The sequence below is a fragment of the Homo sapiens genome, chromosome 11 (assembly GCF_000001405.40).
Source record: "Homo sapiens chromosome 11, GRCh38.p14 Primary Assembly".
Lineage (NCBI taxonomy): Eukaryota > Metazoa > Chordata > Mammalia > Primates > Hominidae > Homo > Homo sapiens.
The window spans coordinates 72,988,250-73,005,930 of NC_000011.10; the positions used below are offsets into that span (position 1 = coordinate 72,988,250).

Below are 17,681 nucleotides of genomic sequence, written 5' to 3' on the forward strand. Positions count from 1 at the left end.
GTCCAGTTATACAACATGCTTTTTCTCATCAACTTTTTATCTTTCCTCAAATTGTCACTGCAAAAATCTCTATTATATTGCTTGCTTTATATCACCTTCTATTACCAGTTGCCAGTTCCTTCTTTTCCTACTTATTCTTAAAAAAAGGTCTTATAATTCACATATATTGAATTCATACAATTGCTAAAGCATACATGAAAAATTATGTATATATACACTAGATTTTTGTGTAAAAGAAAAAAACAGTGCCTGGGGCAGGGTTTCTACATGGAGGTCAGTGCTTTTGTTCACTTGATGTGTTCATGGACCTTCAGTGGCATCCTGAGGATCACAGGAATTTCCAACTACAACTGATTGAGAATCCAGCATGAGAAAAATGAGGCTCTTAAACCCTGATATTCAGACACCATAGCAGTGACTTCAGGCTTTTGATAAGCTTTCAAGTCTGTAAATACAATGTTCATTTACCTTCTTTTTCAAAATTCAATTTAATGTGAAAAACTGACTAATCTAATATTCCCATTTTGCTATATTAATTCAGATAAAAATCAGCCAATTAAAAAAATGTGACCTAAAGTATATAACACATGTAGGTCAAATGAAACCACCACTACCTGAGAATGGGTCCATGCTCACTACTAATAGAGAACAAACTATTAGCAACAATAACATTTATTTGCATAATAATTTTCTCAGAAATGTTAAAACACATACTTTGCCTCGATGTCAGCTTTCTCTCGTACTGCATGAGCCATCTGTTCAGTCTCAAAGTATTTCTTTTTGCCTTTAGCTAAATCTTTCACTGTCTCTTGTAATTCAGTTTGGATCTTTGTCAACTGGTCCACACACTGTAAAATACAAAAGTACAATCATTATGATTTTAGTTTTCAGGCTTACAGAAAATGACTTCATCCTAAGGACTATACACTATGCCTTCAGGATGGAAATCCAGGGGAAAAGTCAGTACGTTCAGTGTCCTTCAAATTGCAGATTAAAATCCTGTGAATTAAAATCCTGGTATTTCCATCTCAAGTACTACACATCAAACAGTGTCACAGTTTGCCTAACAACCATACATTGAGAAATAACCCGAGTGCTGCTGATGACTGACGTTAAGGTAAGACATGGAAGAGCAACTATGAAAAATGTTCTCACTGTTGGAGATATCATGATAATAAAATCAAAAGAATAAGGCAATTCTGTATTTCCCCATAATCTTAACAAAGTCTCTCTTTATGTTTGGGTAACCGACAGTGCAAAGGGTACTGAAGAATTCACCCCTTAGACAAGAGGGAGTGAAATCTGAGTAGTCTGACTTGGTAAGTCCAAGGTGAACAAGAGAAGCACGAAACCTGGGTACCACATAACAATTATTACTCAAAACCATCCCCTGCCCAACTCCGTGGATACACATATACATTCGAGGAGAAGGGATGGACATAACAACTAAAACAATGTTTAATCAATTAACTCTTATAACACACCGGGGCCAAGCAACACTGCCTCAGGACCTTTCTGAGTATCCAAAGGAGATTGACCCCACTTTGAAACAAACCAATTAGAAGTTTCACCAGCCTGAGACCAGCTTAGAGCAGTTACATCTAAAAACTTCTAAGCCTGAAATAGCACTGGTGGAGACTGGCAAAAGCTCAGCAAAGCAGGAGGAGACACTGGTGAAGGACTATTGTGCAAGGGTGAATAGTGTGGAGGAGGGCAAGGACATCAGAAGAATGAGGATAAAACAAGAATAAACTTAACCATATGACATACAGGCTAGACTTTCCCAGAAGCTGTTAGGTGTTAAGAAAGGACTACAGGGGATGAGACATCTAGAAGATTCTGCATGGACAGATAAAAGCAAAATAACCACTCATATTTATTAAGCACTTAATAAGTGTTAGGCTGTGAAGGAAAAGGTTAAAAAAACACAAAATAAAACAAAACTTTTCCCCTCTGCACGAAACTGGGCCTTTGCTTAACTTTCTAGATCTGTGTTTCAATAGAAACCTGATGAGAAGACACAATGTCAGCTGTGTTATTAGGCAACATTGCTTACAAACCCTGGTAGGCAAACTGCATCAATTTGGGATAAACTAAAAATTAACTATAAATATCTGATAGGAACCCTCCACCCCAAATCAACAGAATATACATTCTTCTCAGCACCACACTGCACTTATTCCAAAACTGACCACATAGTTGGAAGTAAAGCACTCCTCAGCAAATGCAGAAGAACAGAAATTACAACAAAACTGTCTCTCAGACCACAGTGCAATCAAACTAGAACTCAGGATTAAGAAACTCACTCAAAACCACTCAACTACATGCAAACTGAACAACCTGCTCCTGAATGACTACTGGGTACATAATGAAATGAAGGCAGAAATAAAGATGTTTTCTTTGAAACCAATGAGAACAAAGACACAACATACCAGAATCTCTGGGACACATTCAAAGCAGTGTGTACAGGGAAATTTATAGCACTAAATGCCCACAAGAGAAAGCAGGAAAGATCTAAAATTGACAACCTAACATGACAAGGCAAAGAACTAGAGAAGCAAGAGCAAACACATTCAAAAGCTAGCAGAAGGCAAGAAATAACTAAGACCAGAACAGAACTGAACGAAATAGAGACACAAAAAAACCCTTCACAAAAATCAATGAATCCAGGAGCTGGTTTTTTTGAAAAGATCAACAAAATTGATAGACTACTAGCAAGACTAATAAAGAAGAAAAGAGAGAAGAATCAAACAGACGCAATAAAAAATGATAAAGGGGATATCACCACCAATCCCACAGAAATACAAACTACCATCAGAGAATACTATAAACACCTCTACGCAAATAAACTAGAAAATCTAGAAGAAACTGATAAATTCCTCGACACATACACCCTCCCAAGACTAAACCAGGAAGAAGTTGAATCTCTGAATAGACCAATAACAGGCCCTGAAATTGAGGCAACAATTAATAGCTTACCAACCAAAAACAGTCCAGGACCAGATGGATTCACAGCCGAATTCTACCAGAGGTACAAGGAGGAGCTGGTACCATTCCTTCTGAAACTATTCCAATCAATAGAAAAAGAGGGAATCCTCCCTAACTCATTTTATGAGGCCAGCATCATCCTGATACCAAAGCCTGGCAGTGACACAACAAAAAAAGAGAATTTTAGACCAATATCCCTGATGAACATCGATGCAAAAATCCTCAATAAAATACTGGCAAACCAAATCCAGCAGCACACCAAAAGCTTATCCACCATGATCAAGTGGGCTTCATCCCCGGGATGCAAGGCTGGTTCAACATACGCTGATCAAGTGGGCTTCATCCCTGGGATGCAAGGCTGGTTCAACATACGCAAATCAATAAACATAATCCAGCATATAAACAGAACCAACGACAAAAACCATATGATTATCTCAATAGATGTAGAAAAGGCCTTTGACAAAATTCAACAACGCTTCATTCTAAAAACTCTCAATAAATTAGGTATTGATGGGACGTATCTCAAAATAATAAGAACTATCTATGACAAACTCACAGCCAATATCATACTGAATGGGCAAAACCTGGAAGCACTCCCTTTGAAAACTGGCACAAGACAGGGATGCCCTCTCTCACCACTCCTATTCAACATAGTGTTGGAAGTTCTGGCCAGGGCAATCAGGCAGGAGAAGGAAATAAAGGGTATTCAATTAGGAAAAGAGGAAGTCAAATTGTCCCTGTTTGTAGATGACATGATTGTTTATTTAGAAAACCCCATCGTCTCAGCCCAAAATCTCCTTAAGCTGATAGGCAACTTCAGCAAAGTCTCAGGATACAAAATCAATGTGCAAAAAATCACAAGCATTCTTATACACCAATAACAGACAAACAGAGAGCCAAATCATGAGTGAACTCCCATTCACAACTGCTTCAAAGAGAATAAAATACCTAGGAATCCAACTTACAAGGGATGTGAAGGACCTCTTCAAGGAGAACTACAAACCACTGCTCAATGAAATAAAAGAGGATACAAACGAATGGAAGAACATTCCATGCTCATGGGTAGAAAGAATCAATATCGTGAAAATGACCATACTGCCCAAGGTAATTTATAGATTCAATGCCATCCCCATCAAGCTACCAATGACTTTCTTCACAGAATTGGAAAAGACTAAAGTTCATATGGAACCAAAAAAGAGCCCGCATTGCCAAGTCAATCCTAAGCCAAAAGAACAAAGCTGCAGGCATCACACTACCTGACTTCAAACTATACTACAAGGCTACGGTAACCAAAACAGCATGGTACTGGTACCAAAACAGAGATATAGACCAATGGAACCGAACAGAGCCCTCAGAAATAATGCCACATATCTACAACTATCTGATCTTTGACAAACCTGACAAAAACAAGAAATGGGGAAACGATTCCCTATTTAATAAATGGTGCTGGGAATACTGGCTAGCCATATGTAGAAAGCTGAAACTGGATCCCTTCCTTACACCTTATACAAAAATTAATTCAAGATGGATTAAAGACTTAAATGTTAGACCTAAAACCATAAAAACCCTAGAAGAAAAGCTAGGCAATACCATTCAGGACACAGGCATAGGCAAGGACTTCATGTCTAAAACACGAAAAGCAATGGCAACAAAAGCCAAAATTGACAAATAGGATCTAATTAAACTAAAGAGCTTCTGCACAGCAAAAGGAACTACCATCAGAGTGAACAGGCAACCTACAGAATGGGAGAACATTTTTGCAATCTACTCATCTGACAAAGGGCTAATAACCAGAATCTACAATGAACTCAAACAAATTTACAAGAAAAAAACAAACAACCCCATCAAAAAGTGGGCAAAGGATATGAACAGACACTTCTCAAAAGAAGACATTTATGCAGCCAACAGACACATGAAAAAATGCTCATCATCACTGGCCATCAGAGAAATGCAAATCAAAACCACAATGAGATACCATCTCACACCAGTTAGAATGGCGATCATTAGAAAGTCAGGAAACAACAGGTGCTGGAGAGGATGTGGAGAAATAGGAACACTTTTACACTGTTGGTGGGAATGTAAACTAGTTCAACCATTGTGGAAGTCAGTGTGGCGATTCCTCAGGGATCTAGAACTAGAAATACCATTTGACCCAGCCATCCCATTACTGGGTATATACCCAAAGGATTATAAATCATGCTGCTATAGAGACACATGCACACATATGTTTATTGTGGCACTATTCACAATAGGAAAGACTTGGAACCAACCCAAATGTCCAACAATGATAGACTGGATTAAGAAAATGTGGCACATATACACCATGGAATACTATGCAGCCATAAAAATGATGAGTTCATGTCCTTTGTAGGGACATGGATGAAGCTGGAAACCATCATTCTCAGCAGACTATCGCAAGGACAAAAAACCAAACACCGCATGTTCTCACTCATAGGTGGGAATTGAACAATGAGAACACATGGACACAGGAAGGGGAACATCACACACTGGGGCCTGTTGTGGGGTGAGGGGAGGGGGGAGGGATAGCATTTGGAGATATACCTAATGTTAAATGACGAGTTACTGGGTGCAGCACACCAACATGGCACTGTATACATATGTAACTAACCTGCACGTTGTGCACATGTACCCTAAAACTTAAAGTATAATAAAAATAAATAAATAAATAAATATCGGATAGAAAAGCCAGGCTTTGGGCTTCTGTGAGTACGGTGTATCCGGACATGTCCCTTACAGGGACACTGGAAGCTCTGTCTATAGAGTTGTTGTAAAAAATTTTAGTCTCCTTTAGGGGCTAAAGCTGGCTCTGCAAATGTGTCTCACTCCCTTGTCCTAGACCTGTCACTTGGAGGACCAAACAGAATAACTGGTCAGCTATGTGGACCGAGACATACAATAGTGGGAGAATTATTTCCATTAATGCTAGATGCTTCCCTACTGGCAAATTGTGTTTCCTGTACTCTGTCCTTCTCAGTAAACCTCTTGTCAGGTGTGGCCTATGAGAGCCAAGGGAGTCTGAATGCTTATTACTTCTAAAAAGACCCCTTGTGGGCACTGCACAGGTGCTATGTTTCGTACTTTACAGGTATTATCACATTTAGTCCTTGAAACGACTCTATGAAAAAGGTAGTAGTAGTAGTAGCAGCAGCAGCAGTAGTAGTAGTAGCAGTGATCCCATTAAGATGAGAAAATAGACTCAGATGTTAAATAATTTACTCTGAGTCACACGGCAAGGATGTGATGATACCATTTACTATGGAACCCATTAAAGTGTGTACCCTAGTTCTGTGATGACCATGTTTTAAGATATAGTGTAAACTCACGGTGAAACCCCGTCTCTACTAAAAATACAAAAAAATTAGCTGGGTGTGGTGGTGGGCGCCTGTAGTCCCAGCTACTCGGGAGGCTGAGGCAGGAGAATGGCTTGAACCCAGGAGGTAGAGCTTGCAGTGAGCCGAGATCATGCCACTGCACTCCAGCCTGGGTGACAGAGCGAGACTCCATCTCAAAAAACAAAACAAAAAAAAGATATAGTGCAAACTGTATCTTATAGATGTAGTTTATCTTAAAAGCTTTTAAAAAATTGACATATAATTCACATACAACAAAATTCACCTTTTTAAAGTATACAATTCAGTGGTGACAAGGTTGTTCAACCATTACTCTGCTTGAATTCCAAAACATTTTCCTACCCCAAAAAGAAACTCTGTATCCATTAGCTGTCACTCCCCATTTCTCCCCACTTCCAACAACAATTAATCTATTTTTGTCTCTATGGAGTTCCTTTTTGGGATATTTAGTACAAATGGAATCAAATAATATGTGGCCTTATGTTTCTCACTTCTTTCACTTATCAAAACATTTTTAGGGTTCATTCAAGTTGTAGCAGGTGTCAGTACTTCATTCCTTTTTATCGCCGAATAGTATTTTGTTACATATAAACTAAAAGTAAGCTTTTATCTTGCAGAACGAAAAGCTGTTTTCCCCCTAAATTGTAATAGTACTTATCAAATACAAAGTTTTTGTTTAATAAATGACAAGATGACAACCTGACACTCCCATAAAGAAGTGCTAAACATTCTAATAATGCTGTGTTTGCAGGTGTGAAGAGCTAAAAGCAGGCTCCATGGCTACAATTTTGATATTAAGAACCAAAAACTGGGCCAGGTGCGGTGGCTCACACCTGTAATCTTAGCACTTTGGGAGGCTGAGGCGGCCAGATATCTTGAGCCCTGGAGTTCGAGACCACCCTGGGCAACATGGTGAAACCTCATCTCTAAAAAAAAAGTACAAAAATCAGCCAGGTGTGGTGGCAAGCACCTGTAGTCCCAACTACTTGGGAGGCTGGGGTGGAAGGATCACTTGAGCCCAAGAGGTTGAGGCCACAGTGAGCCGTGTTCATGCCACTGCACTCTAGCAGGGGTGACAGAGCAGAGAAAAATTCTGTCTCAAAAAAAAAAAAAAAAGGAAGAAGTTAAAAGTATAGTCTCTGAGTATGACAGAGACACAATAATAAACTTGCTAATAACTTGAATATAAGAATACAAATAAAAGTAACCTGGGCCAACACATCGAAGTCCTACAAATGATTAGGTTCTCTAACCCAGTAATAATGCCCTAGAAATTTATCCTAAGAAAAAAATTTAAAAAGTTAATTTTTACTGTAGACTTAAGGGTAATGTCCAAACCCAGTTGTATAATTAAAGAAAGCAGAATGGAAAATTCACAAAATAATAAAAAATAATAAACATAAAGGTTATGTAGAAACATGAACAATTAATTAGGAAATTGGGAGAATGAGGATAAAAGGAGCAAGATAAAAGGAGTAAGAGAATTAAGTAGTCTACTATGGTGAAGGCATTTACATGTATTTTTCTATAAACCTGTTTCAATATTAAGCTTTGTTTTAAAAGCATTGTACAGGATTTGGAATTAGGAAGTAGTAGTATATTCAAGTTCCCACTCTGTTATTTACTACCTAAGTCTCTTTAACATTTTTAGCTTTAGTTTTATCATTTGTAAAATAATAATACTTAAATACTATCAGGGTTGTGTAAAAATCAAATGTGACTATAATGGATATGGCAGCAGTTTGCAAACTCTAAAGTGTTATACAAATGTGAACCACAATATTTCAAGGATGGTAAGTAAACTCTAGTATAAATGTGAAAGATACGGACAAAAGTATGGTTAAGTAAACATAAGAATGGCAAAAAGCCTTAAGTTATTGTAGCTCTCATTCTAATTTTTAAGCAAATGTCAGCATACAGAAAATAATTTTGAAAAATGTAATAATTCTCATAATCCTCATTATAAACTGGGGCTCTGCATAATTGTAATACAATTGTGTTTATCTTCCAAGCATTATAAAAGAAAATAGTCAAATTAGAGAAAATCTTTAAAAAAACATGAACTTTAAAATGTTGTAGAGGAAAAATTTTAAGTCAGATTGGTTCTGATCATGACAGAACAACTTGGATCAGACTACCTTTCTCTAGACTGGAAAGTGTAAAAGTTGAACAAAATACATTTTTAAAAAACTGCCAGCATTAAAGACCACCACCACACACTGGACTTAAAGGACTAAGACACCCAGGAAAAGAGGAATACACCAAGGTAAGTCTTAAATTCAACTTAATGTTTTTCCTTAGGGCATTTGTTGAATCATGGTATAAAGAAATAGGACAGAAACAGAAAGTGGCATTTTTACGAGACTGGGGAGACAGAGGTTGGAGTTTAGGGATGCCAAAAGAACAGGAACTTGAGAGGTAAGGGTCTAGAAAGAGGGGTACTGCAGAAAAGCAAGTCCAAAAATCTGTATGCAATTTCCCCTTGGGTTAACAGATGACTTCTAAAAAGCAGGTGTTGGGTAAAATGCCAAGAAATCCAGTAGAGAACTATAGCCGAGAGGCCAAAGAGTGAGCAGAGATCAGAGCATCAGAGCAGCTACACGATGTTGAGAAGACAAAGGTTAGAGTTCAAGTCTTGTCAAATTAGAAGGGTCTTGGTAAGCACCCTATATTTTCAGTTAAAACTCTAGGAGTAAGTGAAACAGAATAGCCCTAAAAAGCCTAAAACCAGAGATCCTAACAGAATCAAGGTGATCTAATAGCATTCTATCCACTTGCCAGAAGAAAGCTTAACCCTCTTTGGAAATAACATCTTCCCAGAGCCTCTACAGTTTTTATCCACAATGTCCAATATTGTGAGTCATAATCAAACAGAAGACCCAAATAACCAAAAATCAAGAAAAACCGCAGGCGGTTAAAAGAGACCTACAGTAATTCAGATAGTGAAATTATATAATAGAGATCAGTAGTAACATGTTTAAGAGGATAAAGGAAAAACATGGAGAACTGTACCAGAAATATGGAATGTAGTATTTAAAAGTCAAATAAAAATCCTGGAACTGAAAAGTACATTAAGATTCCAAAATATGAGGTTTTCTTTGTTTTGTTTTGAGAAAGGGTCTCCCTCTGTCATCCAGGCTGGAGTGCAGTGGCACGATCTCGACTTCCTGCAATCTCTACCTCCTGTGCTCAAGTGATCCTCCTGCCTCAACCTCCCAAGTAGCTGGGACTGCAGGCATGAACCACCACACCTGGCTAATTTTTACATTTTTTGTAGAGACGGGATTTCACCATGTTGGCCAGGCTGATCTTGGACTGAAATGATCTTTCCACCTTGGCCTCCCAAAGTGCTGAAATTACAGGTGTGAACTACCACTCCCGTCCCCAAAAGATGAGTTTTTAAAGCAGATTCAAAATAGTAGAACAGTATATTAATAAACTTGTTAAATATTCAGATTGAAGTACACAGAGAAAAAAGGGTGGAAAACAAAATGCTGAAAAAGTAGAAAAGACATGAACAGAGTCAAAAGGTCTAACAGCCAAAAAGTCATAAATGAGAGTTAAATGGAATTATCTTGCTAGAAGATTTTTATATTGTTCATGAGGTAGTAAAATACTAATTCAAGGTAGATTGTAGTAAGTTAATTTGGACCAGGCGAGGTGGCTCATGCCTGTAATCCCCGCACTTTTGGAGGCTGAGGCAGGCAGATCACTTGAGGTCAGGAGTTCAGGACCAGCCTGGCCAACATGGTGAAACCCTGTCTCTACTAAAAATACAATAAAATTAGCCAGGTGTGGTGGCACACGCCTGTAATCCCAGCCACTCAGGAGACTGGGGTGGGAGGATCACCTGAGCCCAAGAGGCAGAGGTTGCTGTGAGCGAGATCATGCCACTGCACTCCAGCCTGGGTGACAGAGCGAGACTCTGTCTCAAAAAAAAAAAGTTAATTTGGAACAAGGATTGGGGAATAGTAAGATTAATGATTCAAGGTAATGTAATAAGTTAGGGAGGGATATTATAATCTCTAAGGTAATTACTAAAAGAATATAGGATTTAAAAAGTAAGAAGCTAATAGTGGAGGAAAAAATTGATAATAAAAAATATTAGATTGCTTAATATCACCAACCATCAGTGAAATACAGATCAAAGCCACAATAAAATATTAATTACCTCACACCTGTTAGGTGGCTATTATTCTTTAAAAGGATAACAGATGTTGGCAAGGCTGTAGAGAAATTGGAGCCCTTGTGCACTGTTGGTGGGAATGCCAAATGATGCAGCTGCTATGCAAAACAATTCTGGTCATTTGGGAAAATGAAAAATCTGGGATTGCTACCTTTAAGATTTATAAATCTGGCACATTGGGGGTCACCATGTGGAGAGAGTTGTTAGTGAGTGAAGCCATTCAGAAAAGCAGAGCTAATGGATGGAAAGAAAGTCTGAATTCTAATACCATCATTTGAACCCCTAGATCCACCCATGCTTGAAGTCCTTCAATTTTCAGTTATACAAGCAGATACATTCCCTTCTTGGCTTAAAGCAGTTTGAAGGAGGTTTCTTTCATTTGCTATCTCAGAGTCCTGACAGGTATACCCAATATGTACTGAATATTTAACAATTGCTTAGATGTAACATAGATCATCAGCAATAATATAAAACAAGTTAATTCACAGACATGAGCATTTGTTGAATCTTACCAAAGATTCTTTTTTTTTTTTTTTTTTTTTTGAGATAGAGTCTCACTCTGTCACCCAGGCTGGAGGGCAGTGGCACGATCTCAGCTCACTGCAATCTCCACCTCCCGGGTTCAAGCAATTCTCCTGTCTCAGCCTCCCGAGTAGCTGGAACTACAGGTGCACGCCACCACACCTGGCTAATTTTTGTATTTTTAGTAGAGATGGGGTTTCACCATATTGGTCAGGCTGGTCTTGAATTCCTGACCTCAGGTGATCCACCCGGCTTGGCCATCCAAAGTGCTGGGATTACAGGCGTGAGCCACCACACCCGGCCTTATCAAACATTCTTTGCCCAGGAATGTCAGTTAAATTCAGGTCTGAGATTACTTCATCAATGGAAGAGAAAAGCACCAGAGGTAGTTAAACTCTCTAAATATTCTGATATTGAGTAAGGTGGCAGTAATTCAATTAGATCTGATGAATGCACTGGAAATTTGAAATGCAGTATTTCCTCCTGGTTGGGAAGTTATACTAGTATTAATTCTCTGCCCCTACCTTACACCCTCTTTCTGCACAATCAGACACACACACACACACACACAAACACACACACACACACACTTTCTTCCAACTCAAAATCACTGGCCAGTGATCACATAGGTTACTCACTATGTTTGTTTTGAAAGAGATATTTTTTGGCAAAGATAAAACACAGGCATTCTTATACAAATATGTTTAACTGACTAATATTAGGTGAGTGCTCTAAAGAAATTAACATTTTACATAAAGACACATATACATCTAACATATTGATTTCATGCTACTAGAATCATCTTTGGCAAACGGAAAATTGGGGGGTTTTTGGTGGGAAAGGTGTTTGTAAAAATGTTCTGAAAATCCTAATGACAATTAGAATCAAAACACTGGATGGCTTCTAAAATATTATTTCCCGAAATAATTACTTTAATATTTTCTTTCTTTTACTTTAATATTTTCTAAAGTATTAATACTTCCACAAGAAAATTTTAATTACTTATTAGGTATAATGATAATCTCAATTTTTGTAACTCTATTTCCAAAAGAACACAATTCAATCACCTATTTTCAACAGCCAACTTTTCTAAAAAGTCACATTAAGCAATGCCATTTTCCTATGAATTTTTTATTTCTGTGTAATAAAATATGTCCATTTGAAAACATTTACTCATGTGTAACCCATATAATTAAAGTTTAGAGTCCATCAGGTTTTTTAAAGTAAGTTTTTTATGTTTAGTCAAAATGTGTTAATTTCCTTTAAATTATTATACAAAATGGGTCAAGTTGAAAGTAAGACAAATTAATGTAAACTTTTTTCAAGAACTAGTGGGATTAATAACCTTGTAACTATTCTAATACACATCAAACTATACCGATATTGTGAAACTAAGTAGATCTATGTACTTGAATTATGCCGAAAAGCGGTATTACTAAAAAGTATTTACTGAGCTTTTTGAACGTCCATGGATTTGAATTACATTCATTTTTAGCAGTTAATAAAACATAGTACTTAATGAGAACATGTTGAAATCAGAAAATCCTAGTAAAATGTCAACCAGAAACATATGGGACCATATAGTTTTAAATAAAATTTAGCATAACCTTGCAGATTATAAATGTAGCACTGGGATATTAAAATGCATATAAGAACAGAAATAAAAACAATACCCTTTTTAGTTGCTGTTCTTTTAAGCTTCTCACTGTCCTTGCAGGCTCAGAAATGAAGTTTTTATAGTTTTCACATATATTCATCCGAGACTGGGCTACCTGCATTGTTCCCTCGAGAAAAGATTTCCAAACGGGATACATGCTCCTAAATTCAAAGAGGGATAGAAAAGCATTAGGCAGGGAACAGGAAGAAAAAGTTGGCTAACCTTTTGCTCACAGGGCAGCACTGACAGAATAAATGAATGTCTTCTTTAATGTATTTATAATGGCTTATAGGCAATATGTCAGCACACATAACAAGCAACATGGCATATACTCTATTCTTCTTATAGCTCAGCAATAGGGAGTTCTGATTCATTAGTTATTCTTAATAATGGAGTAAAGTGCTACAAGAATTACAAAGCTAACACTATAAAAATTAGTGAATATTTCAGACTCTCCAAGTCTTTTGCTGTCACAGGGCCATAATTATGAATATCAAGTTTTATTACTTCATTAAGTTATTTTCCTAATTTTAGTAATAAGGTAACTGAGGCCCAGAGAGATTTTAGAGTATCACTTTAGGTCATATAAGAAGAAGGTGGCACTACTGAGATACAAGACGAAGATTGGGTACCTGTATATATAGTACATTGTCTTTCAACGACATCATTTTACTCTTATATAAACTGACGCGGCTGGAAAAATATATCATGAACAACTGTTGATGTGCTTGCAAAGTCTATTTTGTCTGACAAAAGAAATCTATAATAGTGTGGCTCTACATCTGTCTCCCTGTTACAACAATGCTTAGCATCACACTGTGCTTTGGATTCATTCCAAGCAAGTGCCATCACCTTTGCTTGATAAATGTGCTCAGCAATCTCAGTCAAGTCAAAGAATTATTAATCCTTTGCTTTTTCTAGCCAACTTCCTCTTCAACCTTCTTTCCTACTTGCTAAATGCCTTAGTCAATTCTAGCATGCTCCTACACTATTTATAAACACAATCGATAATTTATAACAATGGCAATGCTTTATTTTTTAAAATGAGTCCTTAAAGTGAAATTCTGATAGATTATAATATTCATCTCCTGAGATTTCCCTTTTGTGGGAAATCCATATCGATTTTCAACCACAGCAACATGTGGGACTAAATGCTATACAGAATGCTCACTGTGGTCAACAGATGACAGTGTAGAAGCAAGAAAAAGAAAAATTGCCTGGGTCCCTATCTTAGTTAGAAGTAAAGGAAAAAACTTGATAAACTATGGTTTTCAACCATGGAGTCTTACAAATTTGTTCATGTAATATACCAGATGAATCGGTTTAGATGGAAATAGTCATTATTTAGGCAGAGGTGTATCACTATTCCTTTGGAAAGATTCAATGTGTTGCACCAGCAAAAACTGTCAGCATAAAAGCACTGATGAAGTTAAGAGCAGCAAAACGAATGCTCTCCATGGCCTCACTGCATGACAACCAATGGAACTTGCAATGTAAACTCACCACAGGCTCTCCCTCCTAAGCAGTCCCAACAATTGATTTTCTTGAAGAATGTACTGAGAGAAAAATTCAGTACTATGATTTGTAACTATTAATTTATACTTAAAATACATTTTAAAATAATAAAAAAAATGAAAAAGAACCATTATAAATTGTGATAGGAAGAAAGAGAGGAAGGGAGATACCCTTCATCCATGTTCTTCTCTCAGTGTAACACCCTCTTCTCTTTATCCCTTCTCCTAGTTAATAGCTGTTTGCCCTTCCAGTCTCAGTTTAAATGTAACTTCCTTTGGGAAGTCTTTCACCGTCACCACCAAGCCAACCCCCAAACTCAATCAAGTTATTCTTTGTTAGTTGTTCTTGGTTCCAGCACTTTTCTTTTAATTATAAATATTTTAATGTAATTGTTTATTAACATCTGTCCCTCTCACTATAGTGAAAGCTCCATGAAGGCAGGGGTGTATGTCTTGCTATTGCAAGGACCTAGCAAATAAAGAATGGTTACAATAATATATGTTGAAGGAGTAAATAAATGAATGGATGAATGTATTAACTATGAAGACTGTACAATAAAAAGACAAATCCTTTCATTAAAAAGATAGTTTAAAAAGAGACCTTTAGAGTTTAGCAGATTTATAGCAGGGAAACATATCCTGAACACTGATATACCATGAAAAGCACAGAATTCAGTCACCAGTCAGAAGACCTAAGTTCAAGTTCTAGTTTTAACAAAATAATCATAAGTAGCACACTTCACTATACTTTCATTTCCTCAACTGGCAAATGGAGAAATAACAAAAATACCTGCACCACTTACCTCACAGGGCTATTTTAAAAATTAAATGCAAATGATATGAAAATTCATGATACACAGATTCTTTTAAATGAATACATAGTAACAGCAGCAGAATTGTAACAAATAGAAGCACTTCTTGTTAACATAATAGTGGTACTCCCAATGGTAGTGGTGTTTTTCATTCCAATTAAGGAAAAATAATCATAGGTCATAGAGTGATTTTTTTTTTTTTTTTGAGACGGAGTCTTGCTCTGTCGCCCAGGCTGGAGTGCAGTGGCGGGATCTCGGCTCACTGCAAGCTCCACCTCCCGGGTTCACGCCATTCTCCTGCCTCAGCCTCCCAAGTAGCTGGGACTACAGGCGCCCGCCACTACGCCCGGCTAATTTTTTGTATTTTTAGTAGAGACGGGGTTTCACCGTTTTAGCCGGGATGGTCTCGATCTCCTGACCTCGTGATCCGCCCGCCTCGGCCTCCCAAAGTGCTGGGATTACAGGCGTAAAAATTTTATTTCACCAGGTTTCATATGAAGCAATTGTGAAGGATAAGAAAAGTATCAGCCAGCGTGGTGGCTCAAGCCTGTAATCCCAGCACTCTGGGAGGCCAAGGTGGGCAGACTGCCTGAGGTCAGGAGTTCGTGACCAGCCTGGCCAACACGGTGAAATCCCGTCTCTACTGAAAATACAAAAATTAGCCAGGCGTTGTGGCTGGCACCTGTAACCCCACCAGCTACTCAGGAGACTGAGGCAGGAGACTCGCTTGAACTGGAAGGCGGAGGTTGCAGTGAGCCGAGATAGTGCCACTGCACTCCGGCCTGGGCAAGAGAGTAAGACTCCAACTCCAAAAAAAAAAAAAAAAAAAAAAAAAAAGGATATCAAGCATATACGGTACTTTGCCATTCTACATATCACATGGTAAGTACTACGTTATGTATTTTACATTTATCATATCATTTAATCCTCATCGTAATTCTGTAAGATAGGTATTATTCCCATTTTACAGAGGAGAAAATTGAGGCTCAGAAGGTTGTGAAATTTTTCTAAGGCTACTCACCAGGAAATAGCACCTCCATGGTCATAACCTAGATTCTGCCATTACTAATAACTACTGCTTTGCTCCCATCCCAAGTTCAATCTTCTGATTTCTGACTAACACCTCCTGATTCTACTCAAACCCTTTAGAATTCTGACTCTAACAGTTACTCAGTCCTATAAGAACCCACAATCCATTTGGTCCTACCCCCTTTCCATTGTCTCTTGCCCCTCTCATAATCTCCCTTTTCAGTTCATTACCCAGCTTAGGTTTCATGGTCTATCCTTATAATCACTCCCTTATGTATGCCCTTTTTACCCTTGCCTCTTTCTCTTTCCACCTTTATAACCTACAAGCTCCTACCTTGGTTAAATCTAAAACTGTTTACATCACATCAAAGTATATGGCAGAATGTGGCTGGAGAAAAAGATAATTACGTTGCCTGGTAGCATTTTAAATTGATGTCAAATAAATGCTAGTAACCCCTTAGTGCTACCCAGCAAGGGTACTACATTTCCTTAATCCATTCTTCACCCACCCTTCTACACAATTATTTCCCAAGTTCTCTCTTCTCAAACCTCTAATACGACCACACTTTCAGCCAACAGTGGCACTATCAGAAGGCAATGTCCACATGTTCCCACCACATTTGCCAAACTCCTTGTCTCTGCACCCATACATTATGCCAATCCTCCTATTACTTGCACGAACTACCTGTGCTCTGAAGGCCAACTCCTCACATTTACACTATGTTACACAACCTCTCACTCAAGAATATCAATTCAAAAATCTACAATGTCAGTTTTTCCATCTCTACTGGAGCATTCTTATGAGCAAACATGCTATAATATCTCCATTTGAAAAATCTCCATCAAACCTCCATTTCTCACCAGCTGCCACCCTAATGTCTGCTCTCTTTTATAGAAAAACTCCTTGAAAGAATTGTCTAAAATTACTGTTTCTACTTTCTCTCATCTGGGTCTCTCAATTCTATCCAAATCAGACTTTAGTGTCTACCACTCTTCTGAAATTGCTTGCCAAAGTCATCAAAGATCTTCCTATGGCTAGTCCAAATAGTTCAAGTCTTGATTCTATTACTCGACCTATCAGCAACACTGACCTAGTTTATCCTTCTTGAAATGTTTTCTTCACTTGGCTTCCAGGACATCACTCTCCCTTGGTCTACTCCCACCTCACCAGCCATTCTTTAGTCTCCTTTGCCGGTTCCGCTTCATCTCACTGTCCCATAAATACTGGAGTGCCCTCAAGTCAGACCCCAGGCTTCTTCTCTTCTCTAACTACATTCACTCTGTTGAAAATTGTTTTTAAATTTTTATTTTATTTTTATTATTTCTTTTTTGAGATAAGGTCTTGCTCTGCCACTCAGGTGGTAGTGCAGTGGCACAGTCATAGCTGACTGTAGCCTCAAACGCCTGGGCTCAAGCAATCCTCCTACCTCAGCCTCCAAAGTGCTAGAATTTCAGGTGTGAGCCACTGCACCAGGCCTACATTCACTCTTTAGATGATCTCATTCTACAGATGGTTTTAAAGCCATCCGGTCTCATGGCTTTAAAGAGTATCAATATCCTGACTATTCCTAAACTTTTTTTTTTTTTTTTTTTTTAAAGAGG

The 17,681-nt window shown here is 37.9% G+C and overlaps 1 protein-coding gene across 5 annotated transcripts in view; it reads right to left on the minus strand.

Annotated features, from left to right (window-relative positions):
- FCHSD2 (FCH and double SH3 domains 2) overlaps positions 1-17,681 on the minus strand; it is a 305,574-nt gene that overhangs the window by 151,505 nt on the left and 136,388 nt on the right. For all 5 annotated transcript variants that reach the window (NM_014824.3, XM_011545409.2, XM_011545410.3 and 2 more), the window contains 2 exons: positions 12,741-12,885; positions 715-848 (listed from right to left, as the gene is read on the minus strand). In NM_014824.3, the coding sequence (NP_055639.2) occupies positions 715-848; positions 12,741-12,885 (279 nt within the window). The remainder of the gene's footprint in view (positions 1-714; positions 849-12,740; positions 12,886-17,681) is intronic.